The sequence below is a fragment of the Homo sapiens genome, chromosome 16, assembly GCF_000001405.40.
Source record: "Homo sapiens chromosome 16, GRCh38.p14 Primary Assembly".
Classification (NCBI taxonomy): domain Eukaryota; kingdom Metazoa; phylum Chordata; class Mammalia; order Primates; family Hominidae; genus Homo; species Homo sapiens.
The window spans coordinates 86,815,305-86,843,279 of record NC_000016.10 but is presented as its reverse complement, the minus strand read 5'-3'; the positions used below and the strand labels follow the sequence as shown (position 1 = coordinate 86,843,279).

The 27,975-nt window shown below is 48.4% G+C and overlaps 1 long non-coding RNA gene across 1 annotated transcript, besides 2 other annotated features; it reads right to left on the bottom strand.

The window, feature by feature from the left end:
• Window positions 1–14,654: 14,654 nt before the first annotated feature.
• LOC124903746 (uncharacterized) lies at window positions 14,655–15,366 on the bottom strand. Its single transcript, XR_007065167.1, has 2 exons — window positions 15,164–15,366; window positions 14,655–15,068 (listed from the first exon to the last, which is right to left on the bottom strand). It is a non-coding gene; the product is annotated as an uncharacterized LOC124903746 (long non-coding RNA).
• Window positions 15,894–16,541: an enhancer, noted in NCBI's record as "NANOG-H3K27ac-H3K4me1 hESC enhancer chr16:86860345-86860992 (GRCh37/hg19 assembly coordinates)". NCBI's record gives its function as "activates a minimal SCP1, AML or CMV promoter by ChIP-STARR-seq in naive H9 embryonic stem cells {active_cell/tissue: H9 hESC(naive)}" and the evidence as "EXISTENCE:reporter gene assay evidence [ECO:0000049][PMID:30033119]".
• Window positions 18,484–19,132: an enhancer, noted in NCBI's record as "H3K27ac-H3K4me1 hESC enhancer chr16:86857754-86858402 (GRCh37/hg19 assembly coordinates)". NCBI's record gives its function as "activates a minimal SCP1, AML or CMV promoter by ChIP-STARR-seq in primed H9 embryonic stem cells {active_cell/tissue: H9 hESC(primed)}" and the evidence as "EXISTENCE:reporter gene assay evidence [ECO:0000049][PMID:30033119]".

Genomic DNA, 27,975 nt, shown 5'->3' with positions numbered 1-27,975 from the left:
CACATGGTTCTTGTTGGATTTGCTGTGACCCTGCTGTATGTGGTGATCCACCTATGTACTGTCCGGGAAGTCCTTACCCCTGGGGTCCAGTCTCAGGGCGATGCAGTCTTCAAAGAAGCCAAATGCAGCAACCAGAGGACATCTTAAAAAAAAAAAAAAAAAAAAAGCCAAGTTGCTCACTCACATCTCTCAACCAACGCGAAGGGCACGCCTGGGCCACACAGAGCGCTGCATTTTCACACTTTCCTATTTGCGCTATTCATCCCCCGACCCTGCCCCATCTCTGCCTTTCCTGACACAGAAACAAGGCCCACCTCTCTTCACCTTGTGTGACATATAGAAGCCCAAAATGTCGGTGTGGGAAGTCAGGGTCCTTCTTTGGTGGTGAATGGAATCCTCTTTATCGGGTGGTGGGGGGATGACTGTCACACACGAGAAATTCTCATCTTACGCGTTGTGTCTGTCACTGTTCCCAAAAAGAGGGTGTGGGTGTATGAAAGGCACCTGCCGGGTTTTCCTCTTCTAACCCTCAGTGTGGTGAGGACACACCTCTACTCAGCCACCATGCGTGCCTGAGCCTCAGACCAACTCTTCCATCAAACATTCTGCCTCCAGCTTTAGTCTCATCACACTGGCCAGCAGGGTGTCTCTCTCTGGGGTTCTTTCTCGCTAACCCCTGGACAGTTCCTGCCTTCTCTCAATGGTCCCCACACCTCACCCCTGCCTTCTCTCAGGGGTCCTCACACTCACCCCTGCCTTCTCTCAGGGGTCCTCACGCCTCACCCCTGCCTTCTCTCAGGGGTCCTCACGCCTCACCCCTGCCTTCTCTCAGGGGTCCTCACGCCTCACCCCTGTCTTCTCTCAGGGTCCTCACACCTCACCCCTGCCTTCCTTCAAGCATCCTCACACCTCCAGAATTTTCCTCCCATCCCTTCTAAGCATGTGCACAGGGCCGAACTCTTCTGTCCTGTAGGGCTCCACCCCAAAGGCCTCCTGGGTGCCACCCCTCACCCTGCTTCTGGCCCTGTGGGCCTTTCTCTAGATTTTGGGGTCAGCTCTTATCCCCCCAACTACAACATCAAGACTTCCTTGAGGGCTTCCTTGTGGGCCCTTGGCCAAGAGTCCAGCATAGACAGGTTGGGGTAACTTTGAGGTTCTGGGAACAGAGCACCTGCCCGAGACTAAAGGTTCAATCCATCTCTGCTCAGCAAAGCCAGGCATGATGTGCTCGCCAAGGCCCTCGGCAAGAGAGGCAGTGGAGCCTTCAGGACGCTTGGAGGGGCTTGGCGAGGTCCATCCTGAGAGACCTGGGAGGGGCCCGCAGCTCAGCTTCAAGTGGGGAGAGTGGAGAGGAGACTTGGGGGCCACACAGGTGCCCAGGGAGGAGAATGGAGGCAGGGAGGGAGGCCTGGAGGCCCGGACGCGGCCGTTAGATGGCTTCAGAGTGTGGCTTCCTGACCCTTGCAGCTCACGATACGATCGCCCAATGGAGCAAAGAAGAACACCCCAGGGAAAGAAAGAGGATGGAGAGGGGGCCCTCTTTGGTCTCCTGCTTACAGAAACATTGGTTTTCTAGTGCAGCTACTTCCTGCTAATTTATTCTAAGGACACAAGATGGGCTCAGCCACCCCCTGGAAGCTACTCCCATTCCCCTCAAACGGCTGGCACCCAAAGTGGACCGCAGGCTTCACAGCTGGGGCTCTAGGGCCAGGCAGGCCCAAAGCAGCATCTCAGATTTCTGTCCTTGCTGGAGTTTGACCTTGGGCAAGACACACAGCTGTCCTGAAGCTAACGAGTCTTGTTTCTAAACTGGGGTAATAATGGCACCCACCTGGCGGTTGGTGGAAAAGGCTGAATAGGATGTGTGCTCCCAGTGCTCGGGCCAGAGCCTGCCACTTAGCATTTGCTCAATAAATAAGAGAAAGACTGGTGGGAGGAGGAGAGTTAGAGCACCACCCTCCCTGAAACAGAGGTGCAGAATGGCCAGGAGTGACAGGCACCACTTGCACAGCTCAGGACACACACCCAGAGCCACCTCTGATGGTTAATATTAAGTGTCAACCAGATTGGATTGAAGGATGCAAAGTATTGTCCCTGGGCGTGTCTGTAAAGGTGTTGTCAAAGGAGATTAACATTTGAGTCAGTGGACTGGGTGAAGCAGACCCACCCTCAGTGTGGGTGGGGACTATCTAATCCATTGCCAGTGCAGCTAGAATAAAGCAGACTTGCTGAGTCTTGTGGCCTCCATCTTTCTCCCGTGCTGGATGCTTACTGCCCTCGAACATCAGACTCCAAGTTATCCAGCTTTTGGACTCTTGTGCTTACACCAGTGATTTGCCAGGGGCTCTCGGGCCTTTGGTCACAGACCGAAGGCTGCACGGTCGGCTTCCCTACTTTGGAGGTTTTGGGACTAAGAGTGATTCACCACTGGCTTCTCAGCTCCTCAGTTTGTAGACAGGCTTTCGTGGGCCTTTACCCTGTGATCATAAGAGTCAATTCTCCTTAATAAACTCCCTTTCATATATACATATATTCTATTAGTTGTACCCCTCTAGAAAACTCTGACTAATACACCACCCTCAGTGCTCCTGTTCTTGACTAATCAGCCAGAGGCCAATCACAGAGGTTGGGGCTCATGGGAAGAACAAGGGAGGGGCCCCACCCTGGAGGAGGCCCAGGTCCGTTGAGATGAGATCTGCATGTAAATGCCATGGAATGCATCCCTGTCCCTGCACTTGGATCCAAAATGGGCCCTCTGCGGATGTGGACTGGTAGGACTATTGCACTTGGCATTCTGAGATCTTGGTTGGATTGTTCTTCATAAGAAACACCATTGCTATTGTAATTAAATAGAACAAAAATTAAGTCATGGATATAAAGAAGGCCCTCAGGTTGGACAAAATCATTCCTTTGCCTACATTCCTGAGACCCACCGAGGGGACCGCCTTGTGCCCAGTCCAGCTGGGAGGACCAGAGCAGCAGGGATGGGGTTTGCGTGCATGCTCAGCCCCACCATCAGCTCTGACCTTTTCCTGAGGCAGCTCCAAGGGAAATTTATCAGGATGCTGTGGCTTGGAAGGGTTACTTATTTGTGGAGGGATAACTCTAAGAGGTTTAAGTAAACTTCCTCTCTTTTAAAATTTCATTTTGGTAAATGTCTCTATGTTTCTCACCCGTCTCTGCCTCGTCTCTCTCGGGAATCACCAAAGCTGCAGGTGCCTGGTGGTCATCCCACACGGGGTCTTCCTTCCTCTGTACCCTCCCTTCCTACCTGGTTGTCTCAATCGGAACCCCCAAGTGCAGTCTTAGTCTTATTTTCTATTTTATTTATTTATTTATTTTGAGACGGGGTCTCACTCTGTCACCCAGACTGGAGTGCAGTAGCACGATCTCAGCTCACTGCAGCCTCCACCTCCCAGGTTCAAGAGATTCTCCTGCCTCAGCCTCCCGAGCAGGTGGGATTACAGGCACCCACAACCATGCCCGGCTAATTTTTTATTTTTAGTAGAGACAGGGTATCACCATGTTGGCCAGGCTGGTCTCGAACTCCTGACCTCAAGTGACCCGCCTGCCTCAGCCTCCCAAAGTGCTGGGATTAGAGGCATGAGCCACTGTGCCCGGTCAGTCTTATTTTCTAATCAAAGTTATTTGAGCTCTTGCAATGGCCCCTTCCTATATGGATACCGCAGTATAAAACATGATCATTTTCTTAAATGTGGGAACTGTCTCCTTGGTCTGAGGAAATGCAGGTTCAAATCCCAGCTCAGCCACTGCTTAAGTGGATAACCTTGGTCAGGTTATTTAGCTTGCCTATGTAGGGTTTCTCAGTGTTTCACACTGTGCTAATAGTGCATATAGGGGAAAGCATATGGTTACCAGGAGTTCCCAGACGAAAGCAGACTATCATAAACCTAAATTCATTCCCAAGTCATAGGGTTTATCTTGGAAATGCACACCATTTTTTATGCTGATAATCTATTGCTGTCGTAGACACGTTATTTGCCTACTCAATGTCCATTTTTCTCCCTCATTTACAGAATCTCTTAATTATTGGGTGCTTTGACGGTTAATCACTGAACAACAAAGAATCACTTAATAATTGGATGCCTATCTAAAAACACTTCCCAAACTCCTTTGCATATAGACATGACCAACATGCCGAAGTCAATATGTAGGGGTTTCCAGGAAGGCTCTTTAAGAAGAACTAATTCGCCTGGAAGATTCCTCTCACCCCTTCCTCCTTCCTCCTGCCCGGATGTGATGACAAGCACTTCAGCAGCCATTTTGTGCTAATGAGGCAATCTCTAAGTGAAGCGACATGTTTTGGATGGTGGAGCAGAAAGGAAAATAAGCTCGGGTATTGATGACACCAAGGGGTCACCATTCCTTCACATAAAGAAGGAACTCCCAATTCATGTGAGCCACTTGTATTTTAGGTCTCTATTATCAGCAGCTAAGTATAATTCTGAGATCAGTTATGATGATTGTTTCAGTGTAAAAATATTTGCAACAACTCACCATGGAGCAAACTAATGCTCTGGAAATAAGTGTCCTCACTCTTCTAGGTGTTCTGTCCCCCAGTTCACTGTGTCCCTCCCCGGCATGCATGCCCCAGAGAAAGAAACCTGGTATGGTGGGGGCCATGGCCTGCACTTCCACTCAGAACCACCCCTGCTCTGCCCCCTGCCCTTCTGATGGAGCGAGCACCCCTGGGGCACCACCTATAACTCCAGACCGAAAAGTGCTCTTTCCTTGCCTGGCTGAGAGTGGCTCCCTGGCCAACATGATGAGGGCCAGCTAGGAGAGGGGATGGAGCCCCGGCAGTGAGCTGTGTCCCCAACGTCAACTTGACTGCTGATGGGCTGGGTGATGTTGAGTGTGATCTTTGACCTCTTTGGTATCCTTGACTTCCTTCATACATTGAGGGGGTTGAAGCAGATGTCCCCTCCTGAGACACAACTCACAAGGACCTTGGAGTGATGTGGTGATGAATTGGAGCTTTATGGTCACAGAGAGTTGAGTTCAAATCTTGACGGTGTTATTCACCTGCTGTTTGAACCTCTGGTTTCTGTAGCATTTCTCTCTAGCACTGTGTTCATGACATGGGGATAATGAGACACCCACCTCACACAGTGCGGGTATAAGAGTTTGCTGGGGCGGTCACAACAAAGGGCCATAAACCAGGTGGCTTAGAACCACAGAAATTTATTCTCCCATGTTCTGGAGGCCACGAGTCTGAGATGGAGGTGTCGGCAGGGCTGGTTCCTTCTGGGGCTCGAGGGACACTTTGCTGCAGGCCTCGCTCCAGTTCCTGGTAGCCTCAGGGGTTCCGTGGTTCCTAGAGCACCGTCTCCTCCCAGTCTTCACATCGCCTCCCCTCTGTGCATGTCCATCTCTGCATCCAGATTCCCCCTTCTATAAGGACCCAGTCATACCTAGGAGGCCCACCACCCTGTGACACTGTCTCAAGCTGATCATCTACATAAGGCCTTATTTCCACATAGGGCCACATTCACAGGTATCGGGGGTTAGGACTTCAATGCTTTTTTGGGGGGACAGAATTCAATCCATAAGAGGAGTTGGCTTATTCATGTCAAGTCCTGCCCTGCAGCCTCTGAAGGTGCTAATCCCCCAGTCATATTCTCTGTTGCCATTATTCTCTACCCTGTTGTCAACGGAGTAGGTTTTCATTGACAAGAGCAAAGAGGGCTGCACCCATGCCACTCATTCCACTGTGGAGGTTTGCAGCTGACAGTGGCAAACCTTGCTGACTTGGTGAAATCATTCTCTGACCTAAATGGTTGACTGGGAGCTGGAGCTGACCTCCTCCTTCACACTTGTTGGACGGACAGACCTAGCCAAGGGGTCAAAAGTTCCAAATCTCTCCAAATTCCTCAGGCCTTGAGATTGTATTTTACCGCGGAATGAAATTTATTCGAAGGTTTCTTCATTTTGCACAGACCTTGCCAGAACATGCCATGCAGAAAGAGTGGCTGGAAATTCTAGTCAGGCCCCAGCTTTGTCTGTTTTGAAATTGGTTCCTCTTCTTCTGATTCCCCGCTTCCTATCTGTAGGGAAGAAATTCAAAATATTCACCATTTTCCACCTGTCTTCACCACTTTGAGGTTTCTGAACATGGCGGCTCTTTGGAAACAACTAGAGAAATAGGCAGTTGCCATTCTGTTTGTGAGCAGAGAGGGGCCTGCTTGTGGCATTTTTGGATTCAACACTCACTGGGCTTCTCCCAATGTCCTTGATAAATAAATCATCTTTAAATGAGACAGTCTTTGAATAGCTGAGCAGTGACCTAAAAAATTAAGGCTATTAGGAAATGGGAAACACGTCAGCCTCTGAGTCACTGGTTCTTTTTATTTTTCATGTATGTGTTGAATCTGTGTGAAATTCCTTCCCCCCCCCCACCCCCAATTATGAATAGAAACCAATGTGTTTTTCAGTTGGGCTTTTTTTTTTTTTTTTTTTTATGAGGTTTTTCCCACAGACAAAAGGGATTTTCACTTTCAGGAAGAAGGGTTGCCAAAGAACAGAGGTCTGTAAGATGGAAGTGGATTGGGGCCACGCGTCTCCTCTCCAGATTCAGCCTTGGCGTGCTGTCCTCTGCCGGATACCCGGGCTTTTTTTTTTTTTTCTTGAGCCTCTTGCAGCTTAGAGAAAAACACCCCAAAGTAGGAGTCAGAAGATGCAAGTCTAGCCTCCATCACCGTGGCTCACTGGTGATCCAGCGTGGAACCCGCCTTTGCTCATCGGACGCAAGTCTAGCCCCCATCACCGTGGCTCACTGGTGATCCAGCGTGGAACCCGCCTTTGCTCATCGGACGCAAGTCTAGCCCCCATCACCGTGGCTCACTGGTGATCCAGCGTGGAACCCGCCTTTGCTCATCGGACGCAAGTCTAGCCCCCATCACCGTGGCTCACTGGTGATCCAGCGTGGAACCCGCCTTTGCTCATCGGACGCAAGTCTAGCCCCCATCACCGTGGCTCACTGGTGATCCAGCGTGGAATCCGCCTTTGCTCATCAAATATCAGTTGGCTCATCTGGTGCTGTTCCGCTCAATTAGCAGCTAAACTGGCCTTGGCGCTGAGAGTCTGAACACTGCAAGATATGCAGAGAGGAAAAAATCTCCGCAGCTCTCAGAAGCCTGGATGGGAAGGCCACTGATGAGGGAAGAAGAACAGAGGAGGTGGCGTGGCACTGGACACGGGAGGACAAGGGAGCCTCTTCCCCAGGCCACGGGGAAACGGACAGAGGGACACTAGAGGCAGCCGGTGCATCAGGGTCTGCCTGAGAGACTAAGAACCTGGCCTCACAGATCCACAATCTCTTTTCAGCAATTCCAATATCCCAAACGTGAAAATCTAATAAAAAAATAATAAAAGCTCAACTGGCAGCGAAACTTGCTACCCTGAACATGCGTGAGACTGTCTTTAATCTCAGTTTCTCCCTCTTAGCTTGAATGCTGAAACACTCCCTGCAGAACTGTTCGTGAAAGGCTGCCCCAAACCCTGTGGGGAGTTATATTATGTGGGGTCTGTGCACCATGTTACCTTCCACGACCCATGACACTTCTGAATTATGCATGCATCTGGCCCCAGGGGTTTCAAATAAGGGTTTGGGGACCTGAAATAATCTCATTTGGAATTGTCACCAGTAATCAAGTGTCCCCATGCAATGTATCAGAGTTGCAAAGTGCTAGCCTGTAGGATGACCTGGAGATAGATTTTATTGAGTGACCACTGTGTTTTCAATTTTTTGGTGTCCTTGGTTGGGAGCAAGGTCATACCTAACCCCTGCTGCCTCCTTCCTTTGGGTACCTGCATGCTCTTGAAGGCATTTGAGGTGACAACCCTGCCATGTGAAACAATGTCCCTGCAGGGAGAGAACTGATGACTGAGATGGGCTCCCCAAATCGCCAGCCTTGCACTCATTCATTGTGCAAGCAACGGCAGAGTGATGTTTGCTTACAATATTTGTGATCTGACAGCAATGTTTAAGTGTTAGTTATTAGTAAAATACTAGGGGGAGCCTTCCAGAGCTGAGTTACTTGCACTGCCCAGTTTGTTCTCTGGCTGGGTGTTGACTGGGCACTTCCTTGGGGTGTCCTGAGTAGGTATTTCAGTACCCTACTTCCGGGGCTATCTTCAGGGCTACGCAGCCCTGTGGCACTGCTCTCAGACCCACTTTACAGATGAGGAGGCCAAGCCTTAAAGATGGTTCATCACTCGGCCCCAGGTTCTACAGTAAAAATGGAAGGACTTGGGTTGCAACCTGGCCTTCTGTCCCGGCTCTTTCGTAGCACAGTGCAGTGCTGCAGAATAGAAGGATGCTCGAGGACGTCGCTTTGGGATTAATGTCCCCGTTGAAAACTTGCAGCCCAGGGCCACCTGCACTTACAACACGGCCTGATGGTGGCAGACAAGGCTTCCTTCTGCTTCCCGCCTGCATCTCAGCCACACACGATTATTGAAAACACACTGAGTGCCAGCGGTGGCTGCTGAGGGCAGACTGGTGAGCAGAGGAATAAGGCCCTTGTCCTCCTGCAGCTTAGAACCCACTGCAGTGAGTCAGATGTCGAGGAAGCAGTGGAAGATACAGGGGAGCTAATTCCAGATGGTGGAGAGGGCTGCAGGGGGAGTCAGTGAGACGAGTCAGCTGGGCTCCTGAGGAGGCAACACCCGTTCAGAAAGGCCAGAGACGCGTCCCGGGCAGAATGAACGGCACCTGCGAAGGCTTACAGCAAAGGGCCGGGGCCCACAGCACGTTCCTGTCCACCCGACCCAGACATTGAGTCGTGTCCTGGCAGCACCTGTTGGAGGCAGTTGGGAGACAGCGTCACTGGGACCCACAGCACCCACACCCGTCCCATCATTCCATGATGTTATGGCAGGAAAATGGAATGGGCTCTTCCAAGAAGTTCCCAAGGCAGCTGAAAATATTGGAGTTAAGACTGTGGGGCCTGCGTTCAAGTCCTGGCTCTGCCCATATGAACTGACTTGGCTTTGAATAAAGCCCTTTTTCCTCTCTCTCTCTCTTTTTTTTAATCTCTTTTCTGTCCTGTAAAATGGACATCTGACACCTACCTCATAGTGTTCTTGTGAGAATTTCATGAAACGATGCAGAAGAAAGACCTACGTAAGCCTCAAAGCACAGGAGGAAACGCATTCCTAATGCTACTCATGCTGCTGCTGCTGTTGTGGATAATGATAAAGGCCCTTAAAGTGGTGCCTTCAAATCTGAAATGTTGACAGGGGACCCTCAAACAGCCTTTTAGGAACTGCGGCCATGAGCTCAGATGGGAAAATCTGAATGCCAACTACTTGTCAATCTGAATAAGGCTCCTGTTAAAAGGCGGATTTCCAGTCAATGCTTGTCGCCCCTGGCCCCACACACATTTCACAGGGACTTCCGGCAAGAGGCATAAACTCTCCGGCCTTCGTTTCTTTTCCCTTTGGCATATGAGACGCGCTTGGAATAGGTCATTCCCTCAGGCCCATCCAGCGGTGATAGCTGCAGGTATGCAATGCAGGGTTCCCCTGACTGTACTCCATATCTGTCTCCCCTGACCCCTCACAGAACCCTCCCTCCACCTCTGAAACGCCCAAGTTTACCTCTTTCCCCAGATCAAACTTCAGAAGCCAAGCCTTCGTCACCACTGTGGACAAGAACACTGACTAGCCACCTTGGCCCCAGCCTGGGGGCAGTGCACAGAGTGGAAAGTACATGTTGTAAGTGGGGCATCTTCCTTGGGAAAGATTTGCCAAGTCTCTGTAAATGGAACTCTTTCTTTCCTGACCCTTTGCCCTTCTTCAAGTGAGCTTTTAAACCTTTAAAAACTACGCGGTTTCACTTTCAACTACACCCGAGCTTACAGTGTGTTATTTTGGCTGGAAGACTGAGCTTCGTGTGGGAGGCGTGGGTTTCACAGATCTGAGCCCAGTGATATTAATGAGTGAACCGCCTGTGAAGTCTCCGGGGTCACAGCATCCGCCCAGAGTGGCATTGGTTCAGCTGGGATCCAATGCGAGTTTCCAAGCCTGGAGCTGGGCAGCCCTCACTACTGGCACCTCAGTCTTACCCCATATGACCTCTGACTGGTCTGAAATTGCAAATGTATATTCCTGGCCCCCACCACCAGATCCAGGTTTTGTGGGTTCAAGCCTTAATACAATATGAGGATCTTTCTTTAAGGAAAGAATACAAAATTATAAACATAAAAGTAGTTACAAAAGTGAATATTCAGAAAAGAAACCATAACAAATTGCATATTTTGAAAAGCTAACAAATACTGCAAATATCACTACATCTGCAAATTAACATATTTTCACTAATTCATTGCCCGACAGACACACACCCACGATACCTTCTTTTTGCTGCATGTTCTTGGATCTTCTTTCTTTCTTTTTTTTTTTTTTAATATAATCGCAAGTGTATGTTGATTGAAAACTATTTTCGGGGTGATTTTTGTACAGGTGTAGTTCCAGATGGCACCTGTGAAGTATGTTCAAGAATTTTGCAGGACCAGCAGTGGCTAGTAGGTTCACATTCAGCATTATTTTGCTACATGTGTTAAATAGAATTCTGCCTTTATTTTAATGGCAAGAGAATCTTTTGGGTAAGCTACTTCTGGCAAATCGGACAGAGTCAAGACCCATTGGTGCGCTGTATTCAGGAGACCTATCTCACATGCAAAGACACACATAGGCTCAAAATAAAGGGATGGAGGAAAATTTACTAAGCAAATGGAAAGCAAAAAAAGAGCAGGGGTTGCAATCCTAGTCTCTGACAAAACAGACTTTAAACCAACAAAGATAAAAAACGACAAAGAAGGACATTACATAATGGAAAAGGGATTAATTCAATGAGAAGAGCTAACTATCCTAAATATATATGCACCCAATACAGGAGCACCCAGATTCCTAAAACAAATTCTTAGAGATAAACCCAAAGGAACTCGTTTTCATATGATGACAATTTTGTCGACATTGTTTTCTACAGTGAGAAGAGGAAGATAGATCAGCATCTGCTGTGGCGTATTTGGCTACAGTGTGATTTTGTGTGTCTTTGGTGGAAGTTAGCTTAGAAAAAATGTCTTTTAGTTTCACAATGATATAATTATGCTTCTACCTGACCCATTGATCCCAACTGAGACTGTTGTAAAAAATTCAAGACTATAATCAAATTTGGGAAAACTTCTATTGAATTTCCTCCATGTATGAGTTGTAAGATTTCAGGTCATTTCAGGTTTTCTTGTACAATTAATAACATCACATGCTGTTTGAATTGACAGTACTGAATTTGTCATCAGTGATTTTATTTGTGGATTTTATCCTATCTACCTGAATGTCAGTTATTTTCCATCCAGCCAGCAAGAAATTTAAATATTGGTGTAATATATTAATATTACTCACTTCTCTTCAGTAACTAGGTCAGCAGTCCCCAAACTTTTTGGCACCAGGGACTGGTTTTGTGGAAGACAGTTTTCCCATGGACGGGAGTGGGTGGTGGGGATGGTTTTAGGATGAAACTCTTCCACCTCAGATCATCAGGGATTAGATTCTCATAAGGGGCCCACAACCTAGATCCCTCATATGTGCAGTTCACAACAGGGTTCGAGGTCCTATGAGAATCTAATGCTTCCCCTCATCTGACAGGAGGCAGAGCTCAGGTGGTAATGCTCCCTCACCCGGCGCTCCCCCTGCTGTGTGGCCTGGTTCCTAACAGCCCACAGACCAGTACCCATCAGCAGCTGTGGAGCTGGGGACCCCTGAACTAGGTTATCATGTCACCTAAGTGCTAATTTATCACTTCCATTTGAAATTGACGTCTTCTTTTTTTCTGAAACAGAGTTTCACTTTGTTGCCCAGGCTGGAGTGCAGTGGTGCAGTCTCGGCTCACTGCAACCTCCACCTCCCAGGTTCAAGCGATTCTTCTGTCTCAGCCTCCTGAGTATCTGGTATTACAGGCACACACCACCATGCCTGGCTAATTTTTTTTTTTGTATTTTTAGTAGAGACGGGGTTTCACCATATTGGCCAGGCTGGTCTCAAACGCCTGACCTCTTGATCTATCTGCCTCGGCCTCCCAAAGCACTGGGATTACAGGCGTGAGCCACCGCACACAGCCAACCTCCTTTTTTTTTTTTTTTTTTTTGAGATGGAGTCTCACTCTGTCGCCCAGGCTGGAGTGCAGTGGTGCAATCTCGGCTCACTGCAAGCTCTGCCTCCCAAGTTCACACCATTCTCCTGCCTCAGCCTCCCGAGTAGCTAGGACTACAGGCACCCACCACCAAGCCTGGCTAATTTTTTTTGTATTTTTAGTAGAGACCGGGTTTCACCTTGTTAGCTGACCTCTTCTTAATGAACTTCTGCTTCTGTTATGATGTGGACATTTTCAGTTGTAATTCGCTTCTCAATGTCGGAAGATCTGTGCCATGCTTCATGTTCATCTCTTTTGTTTCATATTACTCAAGTCATCCATTGTTTTTTAACAAACAAATTTAAGATAAAAGAAGGTACCCTTCAAATACATCTAAATTAGGAGTCTGCGATTTCTCACTTTCTTTATTCGAATATTCCATAATCCCTTTCTAAGTTCCAACTATAGTGGGATACTCAAGCTTGATCAAACATACCATTCCCACCAAAGTGATTTTTACGAGCTGTGGCACACTTATCATCCTACACACTGCATTGCTGAGGGTACTCCTGATGGGAATGAATTGCCATTTTCACTGAGTCCAAGAGAATCGAGTCCTACGTTTACAGCCATGTGTATCTGTTTGGAGGAATTTTCCACAGACCAGGCTCTGCAGATTCCAACCTTTTCCATGCTCGCCTGCTCGTGTTCTTGCCGGCATCACTGGGCGTGGTGGCTTCACTGTTCCACCCTTGTCTCTGCACCTCCATGTCATGATACAGGGAAGTTGACAGAGGGGCAGGAGGAACATGCTGGAAGCCACCACACCTGGTGTCTGTATCCTGATGGCACCAGCAATGCTGCTGATGCCAGTCTACTGCTCACAGCCCAGGATCCAGGTATCAGCCTCCCCTTAGCCAAATCATGGCCCCTCCCATGCCACCAGCAGAGGTGATGGAGGGCAAGTCAGAGCAGGAGGAGACAGCTGTCTTAGCCAACTGTGATGAAAGTATCTTGCAAATTTCACAAAAACATATGACCTTGGTGACATATTGGAAGAGGACTATGCAAATTCATGTCCTGAAGCTTCAGTTGCATTGGCTTCATGATAAATCCACCTCTAGGTGGTCCATAGATGCCACCCTTAGGTACCCAGCTCGCAAACAGGTTGCACCCCAGGCCTCATTCAAAGCTGCAGGATCAGAGCCCTTGTTGATGCATCTGTGAGTCTCTCTGAACCAACATGTCCCTTTCTCTGTGTCCATAGCACTCCGCTTGTTGCCATGCCCAGCATCAGTTGCTAACTTCCCATAACAACTGTCCAATGAGAGTCTCTGCCATCAGATGATGTCAGCCACTCTCACGTACCCAGGCCACCAGAGAGGGGAAAATCTTACCCCTAAAGTTGTGCAGTGCCCAACCTATACAACCAAACATGACAGCCAGCCACCTCTCTTCCTAATCTATCCTCCCCTCTGTGGTCAGAGTGACCTTTCTGAAATGGAAACCCAACCACACACCACTCCTTCCTTGTAAGAAAACAACCTGTAGGCATCCCTGCTCCTCTCACCGTGAAGCCTAAAGCTTATAACAGGGGCTCCAGACCATTATCTACCTATCCAAGGCCATCTCTCACCATCCTCTAACTCATGCTCACAGAGGCAGAGTTCCTCGCCTCTCCGAACCCTCAACCCTGCCTCAATTTCTTTTCTCCGCCACATTGACTGGCTCCAGCCCAACCTTTAGCTTGCCCACCGCCTCCTCCAGGAAGCCTTCCCTGACCTGCCCATCCCACACACTTGGTTGGTAACTCTTTATGCACTTCTCCCAGATCCTGTACCCCCATAAGAGATATCTTACCAAGCTGTTCTGTCATTTTTTTTTTCATTTTTTGGCCTCTCCCATGCTCTTTTCCAATGAGGCACCAGAGAGACAGATGAACAGGATACTGGCCCTGCTCTCACGGAGCTCTGGAAGTAACGGAGAGGACAGATTCATGCGCAGCCAATCACAGACCTGGGAACGCCGTTACAGTGGCAAAGAATAAGCTATCGATGTTACAGCGACCCTCCAAGGAGCCCAAGAATTTCCTGAGTTGGAGAAGAGGGGTCAGGGCAGGGGGATTCTAGAGGGGTGCGTGGGAGAGTAAACCTCACGTCCAGCAGAGACCGAAGGGGGCTCCTCGCAGGGAGGGATGGGGGGTGAGAGGCTGCAGAGGTTGCCTGGGGCCTGCTGGGACTTGACCTAGCTGACAGTGGGCACCATTGAGAAATGTGCAGTGGGAAGTGGCGGGGCCACGTTTGCATTCTAGGAGGATGTCCTGGCAGCCGGGGAGGGTGGTCTGCAGGGGCCAGAGTGGAGGCCGGAAGGCCAGCGAGGGGTTGTCAAATGTGGCGTCCAAAGCAATGCCTCCAACTGCCAGCGGAGAGAAGTCTCATTAGCAAAAAGAAGGAGGAATTGCTCCTGCCACTTAGACTGCAAAAAACCCAAGTTCAACATAAAATAAAATAGACTTTTTATTTTCTGATTTTGCATTTTCTATTATCTGTCCTTCTTTTGCTGTTCCGTGTCATCTCCTTGTTTCCTCTCTGGTTTTCCATGAGTTCTTTGCATACTTTGTTTTCAATTTTAAAATGCATATCTTTCCGTATAAAGTTAATGGCCCTGCCTCCCTGCAGCTGGGGAGACCTGAGTTCAAATCCCAGCTCTGCTGTTTGCCGCCTGCTGTTCCTTCTTTGTGAAAGGGGAGGTTTCAGTCCCTCTCCGAAAGGGGCATGTGAAGAGGAGGTCATGCCCAGCAGATATTTACGAGGATGTCTAAGACATGGGAACTAGGACGATTGTTTTCAATATTATGCTTCTTTAAAAGGCTGTTTTAGCTGTTTAAGCAATCCAGGCAAAGATAAGGTGCTGAGTTCTATGAAGAGAACACAGAGAGATTAATTCCAGAGATACGTCAGGGGTGAGGACGACCTCACCTAACAGGTGACTGTCATGCCTGTGAGAAAATACCTTTTCCAAATGGTGCCGTCCACTTCTATCTCTCCACGGAAGGATGGTGAAGTCTTCCACCTGGAGCTCCTGAGAGAACAGTGGGCTTAGTGGAAACACCACACACCTGGCTGGGTGTTTTCAGGTGGAGACGCTGAGGGCTGTTTCTTTCCAGTCCTGGAAGACGCGGAATTTCTTCTCGGCAGCTTTGCTCGGCCTGCGTCTGAGCGGTAAGTCCAGCCCTCCCTGCCACATCTTTTGCAGGCTGATTCTTATTCATCCTTCACTTCTCAGCTCCAATCTCACCTTGGCAGTGAGGCCACAGCCATCTGCCAAAGGGACCCGGGTCGCTCCTTCCCACATCCTGTTTTATTCATTGTCTGAGTGGCGGCGTTCATTTTCCTGTTTACTTGTGGACTGATTCGTTTCGTCTTCCCTCCCTGGCATGTGCACTGTGCACTACCGCATCTTCAGCACCTAAAACAATGCCTGCAACGCGGTGGACACTGAGGAAATATTGTTGGCTGGGTGAGCAAATGCCCTGCGAGCTGGTCTTTTTCCTTAACAATAGGAGGTGGTCATTTTTCTCAGCAGTGCATTTGGATAGGCTTAACTTTGTAATGATTGTGTGGTTTTCCATAGTAAATACTTAGTACAGTGTGTTGAACCACTGGTTGCATTGTCTGGCATTTCTGAGGATAATCTTTAGATATATTAACATAGTAATTAATCAGAGATTAGGTATTGAGTTTGTATGGTTTTCTGGAAGTGTGTGATAATTGATACAAAGTTAGAATGAAGACCCAGATTATAACAAAGCTTCTTCAGGTATGGCCTTCATTCTGCTGCTGCGGTGACAGTGTGAATAAACGCTTGCTGCCCTACAGGCAATGTGAGCCTTTTGTTAGCCGCGACAGGCAATGTGAGCCTTTTGTTAGCCGCGTTCCTTGAGACTGGCTCCCGGCACCCGCATTTCACTCCTCCCGAGCTCTCCGACTTCCACATTCCTGATGGGTGCGCCTCTCCAAGGATGGGGCTGGGCTTGGGGAGACCAGGAGATGGCCAAGAGTCAGTGAGAAAAGATGAGTGTTGCAAATTCCTACTCAACCCACAATAACCCTCATCCAGTCTGCACACGGCGGCCGCCTTTGGGTGCTGGTGACCCAGGGGTCTTAGAAGCCAAACATCAGTGCCATCATCTGAACGTCCCTGTTTCGGCCACCCACCCCCAGCTTTGCTGTCTTGGACGTCCACAGAGCTGAGAGCAACCTGTGGTCTCAGAGTGTCTCCAATCAGGGCAGATGGTCAGAGTCGAAAAGACTACTGTCCCCTATAGGAGTTTCTCATTGATACCCGCCCCCCCAACTCACCCAGGTATGTGTTTATTGCTTTGGTGGGAAATAAAACTCATGCAATAGGGGAGAATTGAAAATGTAAATGAACATACTGATGACCGATTAGATCCTTGCAATGTATGCTATGTCTTATTTGCCCTCCCTCAATCTGTTTGAAAGAAAACTGTTCTCCAAACTTCCACATCACAGTTTTTGCTGGCACTGCATGTTCCATTTATACTATTATCCTCCCCCTAATATTTCTTCTTTAAATCAACTCATTTTCTGACTTTACCTTATTTTAAAAGAACAATTGTACAGCACAGACCTTCGTGAAAATAGTCATTTCTCATTGCCATCAGAAGCTGCTATAAAAATAAAGGCAAGAAACCACACCGCCATTATTAAACTCTTCCTAGACACCGTGGCTTGCAGCCCAAGCCTGCTCTAGCTTGCTAATGGAGGCAGCCAGGATGCTTGAGAGAGGCGTGGGGAGGTGCTCGGGGCTCTCGTAATTACAGAACTTCCCTTGCGATTTTCAGTACTGCCGAGTGTTCCACCTGAAGTCATTGCTCAGGTGAAATGAGTCCCACACCAGGTGCTCTGTCTGGAACTTCCCAGAGCCCGATCTGGGTGCTGTGGGCTTGTGGGCCCTCCGTGGCTCTCTGTGGTTGCAGAGGGATGAGAGGACCCTCTCACCTCCACATCAGCACACCCTCCACTGTGTGTTCACAGCCAAGTTCTCAGCCACCCCTCTCTCCTCCATCTGCTTGGGAGCTGCCTGTCCACTCGCTCCTCCTGCACCAATGATCTGCTGATTAAAAAAAAAAAAGCCAGGCACAGTGGCTCCCCTGAGCTCTCAGTGTGTGTGGCTGGCTCTACAAATGGCCTCATGTACGCCTCCAAATCTCACCACGCACAGGGCTAGGCTTATCTCCATTTTACAAACAAAGACATGGAAGTTCAGAGATGTTGAGACACTTGCTCAAGGTCACACAGCTCAAAAATGGCAAGGCTGGGACTCAAACTCAGGCCTGGCTCCAGCATCCACGTTCCTGACCATTTGGGCAAAGTTACATAAAGATTTTCTGGGTTTGGCAATAACAACATGTCCCCAACTAAGGTGTCATTCACTCCATTCCCCAGGTTATGGCATTACTCATTAACATAACAATTCCATCAGGGGGCTCATTTGCAAATGCCTGTAGCAAAATTGAAACGGATTCATTCAGAGGGGATATCCTAAAACAGCTCATTTGCAGAAAGCCCCTCCCAGCTTGGAAATAGCTGTCATGTTCCCATCCCGTTTAATGATAACAATCAGAACTTTGCTAAACATGGATTACTTTATCCCCTTTCACAGAAGGGGACATTGAGACTCAGAGAGGTGAAGAATTTGCCCAAGATCCTCACTTATTAGTGTGGTGGGAGTGAGGCCAGAAATCCAGGCAGTCCAGGCACAGACCTGAGAGCAAGACCCTCCCACCCTAGCACCTCCCTCCTGTCCACGGCAGCAGCTCAGTTCTCCTGAGAGTGAGGGAGGGGCGGGTGGAGCCCGGGAGACTGGCCAGGGAGCTGGGGAACGTGGGACCTGAGGGTCGAAGGCTGAGAAGAGCCGAGGAGGAAGGTGTCATCTTCCAGCCAGGCTCTCTGCTCTCTGCTCCTTGTACTTGTTGATTGGAGAACCCATGATGTCGCAACGACAGTGGAGGAAATGGTCGTCTAGACACACATCTAATTACCTGCTGTGAAAATCCCCACCGGGATGTGTGCCACAGGCAGGATGACCTGAGGCCACATTCATCTGAGCCCTCCGTGACGCTCACATGCAGGATGACCTGACGTCACGTTCATCTGAACCCTTGTGCCGCTTGGCATCAGCTGGGAATGGGACAGGCTGGACTTCGCCTGCTGCACCCCTTCTAGCTGGGGAACCCGGTGGGTGGGGATGGTTGGTGGTTTCGTTGGTTTGTTTTAAAGCTCCCTGAGGCTCAGTTGTGTTGTCCACAGAGCAGACTTCCTGTCTTGAGCACCTGCCTTGTTTAGGCTTCCCAGCAGCAGGTAAACAGCGTGTCCCTTTGCCTCCTGCTTCCAAGGTAAGTTTCCCAATGCCCCTTGCAGGAAGGCAGGAGCATGTCATGCCCTAGTTCAGGAGGAGGCAGCGTGGGTGCAGGCTCAGGCGAGGGTGGTGCTGGAGGGATCTGGTTCTGTGGGTTCTGTCAAGACTGCCACGGCTGATCATAGCGCTGTGATGCCACCTGCCAGAGGCCTCAGCCGTGACGTCTTTGCTGGAGCGCACTCCAGTGGGATCTAGGCATTGCTCCTGGTTTCCACACGTCCCACAGACTATGTGAGAGGAACTCCTGAATAAATTCTCTTTTCTGCGTCAGCTTCCTCAAGTGGATTCTGTTATTGCAACTGCAAATCCTGACTCACACACCGTCTCACAGGGTGGTTCCAAAGAAGAAGCGTGGTTGTGAGTTGCTCAGCATAACGCTCCACACGCAGTAGGCACCCCGTATACAATTGTTGAATGAATGAATTAAAGAATGAATTCATGGAAAGAAGGCATGGGGCAAGGTGTCCTGCACCTGGGAACTACTCACTAAATATGTGTTATTAGGACTGATCACGACGATTATAAAATAATTATAATGCAGCCTTGAAAATAGCCACCAGCCTGTGTGCATCTGGGCAGCCAAAGAAAATATGAGTCACCGCCGTAACCATCAGGGTTATTGCCAATGTCCGGGCCCAGGTAGAATTTCTCTGTGGCTTTGAGGTTAAGACAATAAATGTGTGGAGAAGTGATATCTCTCAGGCTGGAGGCTTTATGTCCGGGGTGCAATTTACCACGACTTCTTTTGTCTCTGCCATGGCGCCTGGCAATGTTTGAATGCTGGTGGGGTTACAGCTCTCTGCAGAAGCATAGTAGAAAAACAAGATCAAGGTCACACAAAAGAGGGTTGTGTGTTTGTGGCAAACCTAGTCCAACCTGGCTGGTAGAATAACCTAAAGGCAACTGTCAAATCAAGTGGAGTGAGGCACTTCAACCTCTGTCCACCAATCTGCTGTGTTTTTCTCTTCTCTCTGTGGGTTTTGAGCCAGAATCTATTTCCAGTTCATGTCTAGTTAAATGTCTCTGTTCTCTTTGGTTTAATCACCAAGAGCAGAAAGCCATGACGAGGGCGTCTCTGATCACAAACGAATCTGTCTGTGAAAATGCTCTTGGCTGGACTCTGCTGATCTTCATCGTAAAGCCCGTGGGAAGCTCTCAGGGTCAATATTCGGCCTTGTTCATAAAATCACCTAAGAAGGGTCCTGGTTTGGCCCTCTGTGATGGCTTGCATGAAACGCTGTGCAGCACCTAATAGGGCCTGCATTCCTCTAAACCGTTCATGTTATTTTTGGTGTGGGTGAACGAGGTTTGTTCGTGAGAATCTGACTATTGAAAACAGGCAGTGCAGATAAATGAATGGCTATCTCTGGTGCATGCTTTGGGTATATTCCAGATGTGTCAACTTGTAAACAAAGGAGGTGTCCGCTCCATGCTGGGGACCGTGTGGGCAGCTGGGTGGCTGTTGTTGGGTGGAGGTTTACACAGCAATGTCCCACAAGCCCCGGGTGCTGCCTGTGACCACCACTCCTCCCTGACAGGGTTCCAATGGGAATGGGAGAATTTGAATTCTGTATCACTGGCTCGTCTGTTCACTTCATGCCTTTGGAGGCCTGGTGATATAATTGTCTATGAATAGATGATTAGTACTTTGACCTTATGCATTAATTGACTGCCCCTAAAGATCTGGAAAAATGGATTTCAGTCTCATTCAGGGAAATGTTCAGAAATTTTCTGAAAAGACAAACCATACGGTAAAATGTGGTGATTGCCTTCATGGGGCCTGTGCACGTGGGTGGATGTTTGATGCCAAGAACTGGGTCAAAAGTAAAGATCTTGGCTATGGAAGGTGAAGAATGTGCACTGCCCTGTGGCGACCGCATCAGCACCCCTGGGGCCCCAGTCTCTGCAGATTCCGATTGTACCTGGTAACCTGGTCCACCCCTGACCTTTCCCACCTCAGAAAATGGCATCTCCACGGAACCAAACGCTCGAAGTTGCCCCAAGTCTCCTGTTTTGGTCACTTCCCTTCCCCATCCATCAGAAAACACTGCCGGTTCCACCATGAGAATCTATCTTGGATCCACCCCTTCCCATCAACTCCCGCTACCTCGTGGACAGGCCCCCTCGCCTTCCCTGTGCTAGTTCAGTCCCCTCCTCATTGGTGCCTGACCCTTCTGAGCCTCCTCTGCCCAGTCCATTCTCACATGAAAGCAAGAGATCCTCTTAAAATATAGTCAGGTCTGGTTCCTCCTCTGCTCAAAATCCCACAACGAGTCAAAGCCAAATTCCCACAATGTCTATAATGATGGTTCTCATATGCTTTCCCCAGGGGACATTTGGCAGTGTCTAGAGGCAGTTCTGGTTGTCACAAACGGGGAGCGGGGGATGCTACTGGAATCTGGTGGGTAGAGGCCAGGGGTGCTGCTGAACATCCTACAACACACAAGACAGCACCACCACAGAGAAGCAGCCAGCCTAATATGCCAACAGTGACAAAGCTGGGGAGGCTCGACACATTCCAGGCAGACAGCTGTCACTTGCTGTCTGCCTGCAGTAGTGAATGGGGTGGGGCATTCTTGTGTAATCTGACAGAAAGTGACCAAACTTATTTGTTCTTATCTTTGCCATCTCTACTGCATGTAGGAGGGGCCAGGAAAGATGATTGCTTTCAGTTAGGAATGCATTGAGCTGCAACTAAAAACTCAACCGTGACTTGCACAAATCAATGCATCAGTGCTCTTTTTTTTTTTTTTTTTTTTTTTTTTTTTTTACTTTTTCCCCACATAAATGCTTGGAGATACTTCAGGGCCATTATGCTCACCTAAAAGTGTCATCATGGATCCATGTCCTTGGGACTTCCTGCCCTGCCATCCTTGACAATTGACCATCATGGTCCTTGTCACTGGATGGATTCAACGATCCAGGCATGAGGAAGGGAAAGGGGGAAGAGCACAAGACCAACCATGTCTTTCTCTTTTTAAAATGTGTTTCCAAAATCTCCACCCAGTTGCTTCCACTAATGAGACTCTCTGGAAAATATAGATTTCAGTTTTGCTATCCTAAACAAAACCCCTTAGTGAAAATATCAGGAGGGAACCATCAGCATTTGAGATGCTTCACAAACACTGCCTACAGCCAAAAGAGCACTTTATGGGCTTCTGGTTAAGATGAACTTGTTCTTTCTTGAGGTCCTCTCACTCTGTCTGTGGAACCATTCTCCTCCTGGTCAGCTTGTCTCTAAAACTCAGCATCACATGGTCAGTGCTTAGTAAGAATACATCTTTTTCCTGAAGGAAAAACTTCATCATAGAAGTGCAAGGTTACAACAGATCCTCAAGGTCACCCACTTTTCCTAGGTAACATCTTGGATCAGCATTTACCTAAAATACTTCCAGTAATGGGGACTCACCAACTTGAAAGACATCTCCAACCTCAGGGGAATCTCTGTTTCTTCATATCCAGCTAGAATTTTCCAACCTTGATCTCCACTCATTGCCTCCACTTCCATCCTTGAGGAGATGTAATCTTCACTGGTCCCAGGTTACAGAAGCCCTGGATGGTTAATGGCCCAGGAGGGATGCCATCCTTAGTTTACATTTGAGGACACTGAGGTGCTGGCTGTGAGCTTCAGATGTAGACTTCTTGGTAATTGAGTGTTCTTTCTACTAAAATCATAGAGCACAAGGGCAGACCACACCCTACCCATCTCCAGACGTTCACACAATAGCAGAGCAGGGTCTTGGCGCAAGCTTGCAGCCCACACATGTACTGCACCCTACTGTGGCCTGGAATGAGGCTTGGTCTGGGGCTACATTTATGAAAAACACAGGTCCTGACTTGGTGGGATCCCCAGCCTGGTTGGCAAGGATGATGAGTATGGCAGGTGAGCTGGGTGCTTTGAGAACATGGTGTAAGTGGATGTAATCTGGCCTGGGGGCACCACAGAGGGCTTCCTGGAGTCAGTGACGCAGTTTGTGTCCACAACCTCCCCTTACTAAGGATATGATGACACCCTGTGCTTCCAACCAGGGGCTCAACTCTTACGATTCCTACTGGGGTATTCCTGCATGCAATCTTCCCAGAGTTGATCGGAAGAAGGTGGCCTGAAATGGCACCCTTATAGGTGAGAAATGTTCTAAATCTAGACAGTTGTGATGGTTGCCCAACTCTCAGAATATGAGAAGAACCATGGCATTGTGCTCTTTAAATGGGAGTATGTTATAGTGTGTGAATCATATCCCAATAAAGATGTGTTTAAAAAAATTTTTTTTTTTTTTTAGACAGGGTCTTGCTTGCTCTGTTGCCCTGGCTGGAGTGCAGTGGCAGCATTGATCTCCTGGACTCAACAGATCCTCCCATCTCAGCCTCCCGAGCAGCTGGGACTACAGGGGGATGCTACCACACCCAGCTAATTTTTGTATTCTCTATAGAGATGGGGTCTCACTATGTTACCCAGGCTGGTCTTGAACTCCTGGGCTAAAGCAATCCTTTTGTCTCAGTCTCCCAAAGTGCTGGGATTATAGGCATGAGCCACCATGCCTGGCCAAGATTTTATTCTCTAATCCACACCTGGTTAACTCACAAAACCCAGCCGTGTTCATTCTGCCCAGTGGTGGTCTCTCTGGGAGTGGACAACTCAAGCCCCTGCAGTGGAGCCCCTCACTCCGAGCTCTGCTCATCTCTTTCCCATCAATTAGCAACTTGGCCATCACCTCCTCCACCCACGAGAACCCCTGTACTCCTCTGACAGCCTCACAGATTATTTGGAGGCGATGCTGGGGACATTTGGACAGCAGTCAATTCTCTTTTCTGCTCCAAGGGTGGTCCTGGACCAGCAGCGCCAGCATCCCCGGCTGGGGGTGGGGGTGGGGGTGGGGGTTGGGGGCGGGGGTTAAAAATGCAGAACCCCAGGCCCCACCCTTGATATGCTGAATCAGAATCTTCATTTTAACCAGCTCCCCAAGTGGTTGGAATGTACATGAAAGCTGGGGAAGCCTCACTCCAGGGAGCCTCTTCTCAAACCAGGCTGCACACTGGGACCTTTAAGGAATAGACGTGGGACTCCTACCTCCAGAGACTGGGGTTTCATTGCTTTGGGGACATCCCCTGTATGGCAAAGTGGCAACAGTCCCCAGGTGATTCTACCATGCAGCCTAGGTTGAGAAGCTCTGATCTGGTGCACACAGAAATTTTGCTTTACATGGTTATTTTGTCTAAAGCCAAAGCGGTTCATTAATCCTCATGTTGTCTCAACCCGTCAAAACCCAGCCTGACAAATCCCTGCCGCAGGTCTCCCCCGCACAGCACCGGCTCACTCATGTCATTTCATCTTCACCGAGCAATCTCTGCCCGCCATTGTTAAACTTGGCCCTGGCCACACTGGGGTTCACGGCGATTGTCCAAATACTGAACTTCAAACAAACAGAAAGAAAATAACACTTGCTAATCGTTTGTGATAAGCTGCCTTTATCAGCCCCCTTTGCTCCCGGTTGGCACGGCTGGTCAGATGGCTCTCGGTGACATGCCGTGCGTAAACACCACCTGTTTGTGCAGGATGACACTGGGCTGCTCCTGCTACTGGTGTTATCGCGAGGAAGCACTAGGTTGGGTGTGTGAGCATTTGGATGAAGCTCGGAGAGTATGATAACAGCGCGTTGGACCTGCCCCAGGGGTAGCTGTATCACAGCCTCGGGGCTTTGTTGAGACCTGCTGGGTTGTTGCTTCCTGGAAGGTAGATCGCTGAGAAAGGGACTTTCACTTCTTCCTGCCTCGGTGGCTCCCTTTCCAGTGTCTAGACTTTGCGTTCACAATGGCAAGGGCCTTCCGGATTCCATTCTCCATTTGCTGCCAGTTTCCAAAGCTGCATATCTAAATTGGGATTTCCTGGATTCCCAGAGTCTTGGGTTGGAAGGGGCCCTTTTTGGGCGAGTGGTCAGAATGCACTGTCTGAAACCAAGCTGTCCCCTCTCCCTGCCGCGTCTGAGCCTTATGTGCTGGGACGTATGTCTGAGAACAGAAAGGTTGCTTCTCATTTCCAGGGTGCCCTTAGGAGTGATTTTGTACAATGGTGGCAGCAGCCTTTGCCGTCATTCTCTGGGTTTTGCTCTGCAAAGCTGGTTTGCAAGTTCTCTGAGATGGTGGAGAGTCTAGAGCTCTTTCTCCTCGTGCCTTAAGGTGCATTTGAGTCCCCCGGGATCTCATTAAACTGCAAATTCCGGTTCTCTGTGTCTGGGGTGGGCCTGGGATTCTGATTTCTGACAAATTCCGGGTGATGCTGCTGCTGTTGCTGCTGCTGTGTGGATGACACCTTAGTCGGGAGAGAGATCCCAGACTTCATTTTCTTGAGGCTGAAATCAAAGAGAGAGGAGTCAATGTGTCCCTTTCCCACCTGTCGTTCTTTGAAGACTCCAGGTTCTTGTTTGGGCTCCAGCTAAGGGTGGATGGGCTGTGAAAAGGGTTACAGTGATGGTTCCCTAGGTTAGTGACTGTCAACAAGCCATACCTGCAGGGATTCCCAGCCCTGCACAGTCCCCTCTCCTTGAATCCAGCTGGGATTATGACCCACTTTGACTAATAAGAGGGCTGGCAGGGGGCTGTGCCCATTCCAAGTCTCTATTTTAAGAGGTCCTAGAAGCTTCTGCTTTTGCACTGTGGGACCCAGTTACTTGCAGAGGCTAAGGCAGGAGGATCATTTGAACCTAGGAGTTCAAGGCTGCTGTGAGCTATGGATTGCACCACTGCACTCTAGCCTGGGCAACAGAGCAAGACCCTGTCTCCAAAAACTAAAATAAAAGAAGAAAAGAAAAAGATTAAAAAATCAGTAACATAAGCTTCCACTTTAAGAAACCAGAGAAAGAAGAGAAATTCAAGCCTAAAGCCAGCAGAAGAAAAAAAATAATAAAAAATTGAGCAGAAATCAAGGCAATTGAAAACAGGAGAACCGCAGGGACAATCCGTAAAACCTGCAGGGATCCTTTGGAAAGCTCAATGCAACTGATCAACTTCTAGCCAGGCAAACAAAAAGAAAAAGAGAGAAGGCACAAATTACCAATATCAGAAAGGAAAATGAGGTCATTACTCTTGCTCCAGTGGCCACTGATGGGATAAAAGGAATAATGCAAGCAACTCATTACCCACAGATTTGACAACTTAGGTGAAATGGACCGAGTACCTTGAAAGATAGGAACTGCCAGGAGAGGCAGCAGAGCCCGATTAAGGGCCCAGAGTGGAAACAGTGTCATTTCCATCATTCTATTGGTCAAAGCAGTCACAGGACCTGCCCATGCCAGGTTCAAAAGGGAAGACGGGCAAGGTCTTGCTGCACAGGGGCTTATGGGGTGGGTCATATTGCTGTGTTCCTCTCTGGGAAATCCAACCCACCACACTTACGTTTCTCTTCTTCTAGGAGGCCCTCCTGATCACTCCTCCAGGACCCTCCCCTATCTTGGTCATAGAAACGTTTAGTAATATCTATGAAATCAGCATTTCTTAGCCTTGGCTGCATGACAATATTGTCCGGGGAACTTTTGACAAATACCCACACCTGGACCCTGCTTCCTGCGATTCTAACCTCATTGGTCTGTGGTGAGGCCAAGGTGACTTTCGGAAGCTTCCTAGGCAATTCTGTGTGCAGCCAGGGCTGAGAACAAATGAATGAATGAATTTACAAGTGATTCGCTGAAATGGAGTATCCTGGCTAAACATTACAAGCACAGCAATTTAGAAAATCAATATTTACAAACTAAATACTGATAAAGCAGCCTAGTGGGAAAACAACAGGAAGACATGAATAGCATAATAAAATAAAAATACAGAAGGAGGAGGAGAGAGGGGAGGTAAATGACGGAAAGACCATCACAATGGGAGATTTTGTTGTCAAGTGAGAAGGACGATGAAAAATGAAAAGCTATGATGGAGCCTCAGCCTCTGAACCGAGTTAAAAGTGAAAAGGGCAAATGTTCCCCCCAAAACAGGGCCCTTGGAGGGTTGCGCTTCTTCCTTAATAGTATCATTTACAGTTCATAATAGACACAGAAAAATCTTTGTTCAGCAAGTATATTTTTTCTGTCTGCTAAAGTAGCAAACAATTTAAAAATATGTCAAGATGCTTCATAACGTTTTCTTTAGAACTGGCCATCTAAAACATTTCTGTATGAGAGATGCAGTGTGTACGGATGCAAACACATGCACACAGAGTCTGTTAGGATATGAGAGTTCATCTGGAGAGAAGTCCCTCATGGCTTGCCACAGGGCTCTGCACTTCGCCTTTGCTACTCACTCTTTTTATAAAAACTTGGCTGAGGCCAGGTGTGCTGGCTCACATCTATAATCCCAACACTTTGGGAGGCTGAGGCGGGCGGATCACGAGGTCAGGAGCTTGAGATCAGCCTGACCAACACAGTGAAACCCCGTCTCTACTAAAAATACAAAAAAAATCAGCCAGGCATGGTGGCATGCGTCTGTAGTACCAGCTACTCAGGAGGCTGAGGCAGGATAATTGCTTGAACCCAGGAGGTGGAAGTTGCAGTGAGCTGACATCGTGCCACTGCACTCCAGCCTGGGGGACAGAGCAAGACTTCATCTTGGAAAACAAAACAACAACAACAAAAACAAACAAATAAACAAAAAACTTGGCTGAAGACAGACTATTGCATCAAACTGTAAGATTCACAAAACTCAGAAGAAAATCTCGTGAAATGGGTGAGAACGCTAATGATTCAAGAGATGGTAGCCAGTTGTGCTCAATGCATTTATAAAAGCCCACAACTTAGGACCTGGCATTTAAGAGGTGCTTCATAAATGTTTATCAAATAAGGAATTTCGGTAAGTTTAAATGAAGGGCTCAGACTTCCACAGAGACAAACGTACAGACCTTCATCTACATCTAAAATCTGATTGCACTAGCACAGAATGCAGGTGACCTATGTTTAAATCAAGTATTTTTTAAAAAGCAACTGTGAGTGTTTAACTAGCAAAAAGTTTATTCTGAGCAAAGACTGGGCTGTGGCTGCTATGAGAATGACTCCTATCCTAGCACAGCTTCCTAGATGTCTAGTGTCCCCAGTGGGCCCTGGGCAGCTACAGAACATACCCAGGTGTTGTATTGTTTTCCAGGCAGTGTCTTTAAAAGAATGGTCTCCTGGATGTCCACAGAGAAAGGTGATGTGGAAAGAGACCTCACCTGTGCACTGAGGCATTAATACTTTTCAGAAGAAAAAAATAATAAAAAGTTGAGCAGAAATCAGGGTAATTGAAAACAGGAGAACAACAGAGACAGTCCATAAAACCTGCAGAGATCTTTTGGAAAGCTCAATGCAATTGATCAACTTCTAGCTGGGCTAACAGAAAAAGAGAGAAGACACAAATTACCAATATCAGAA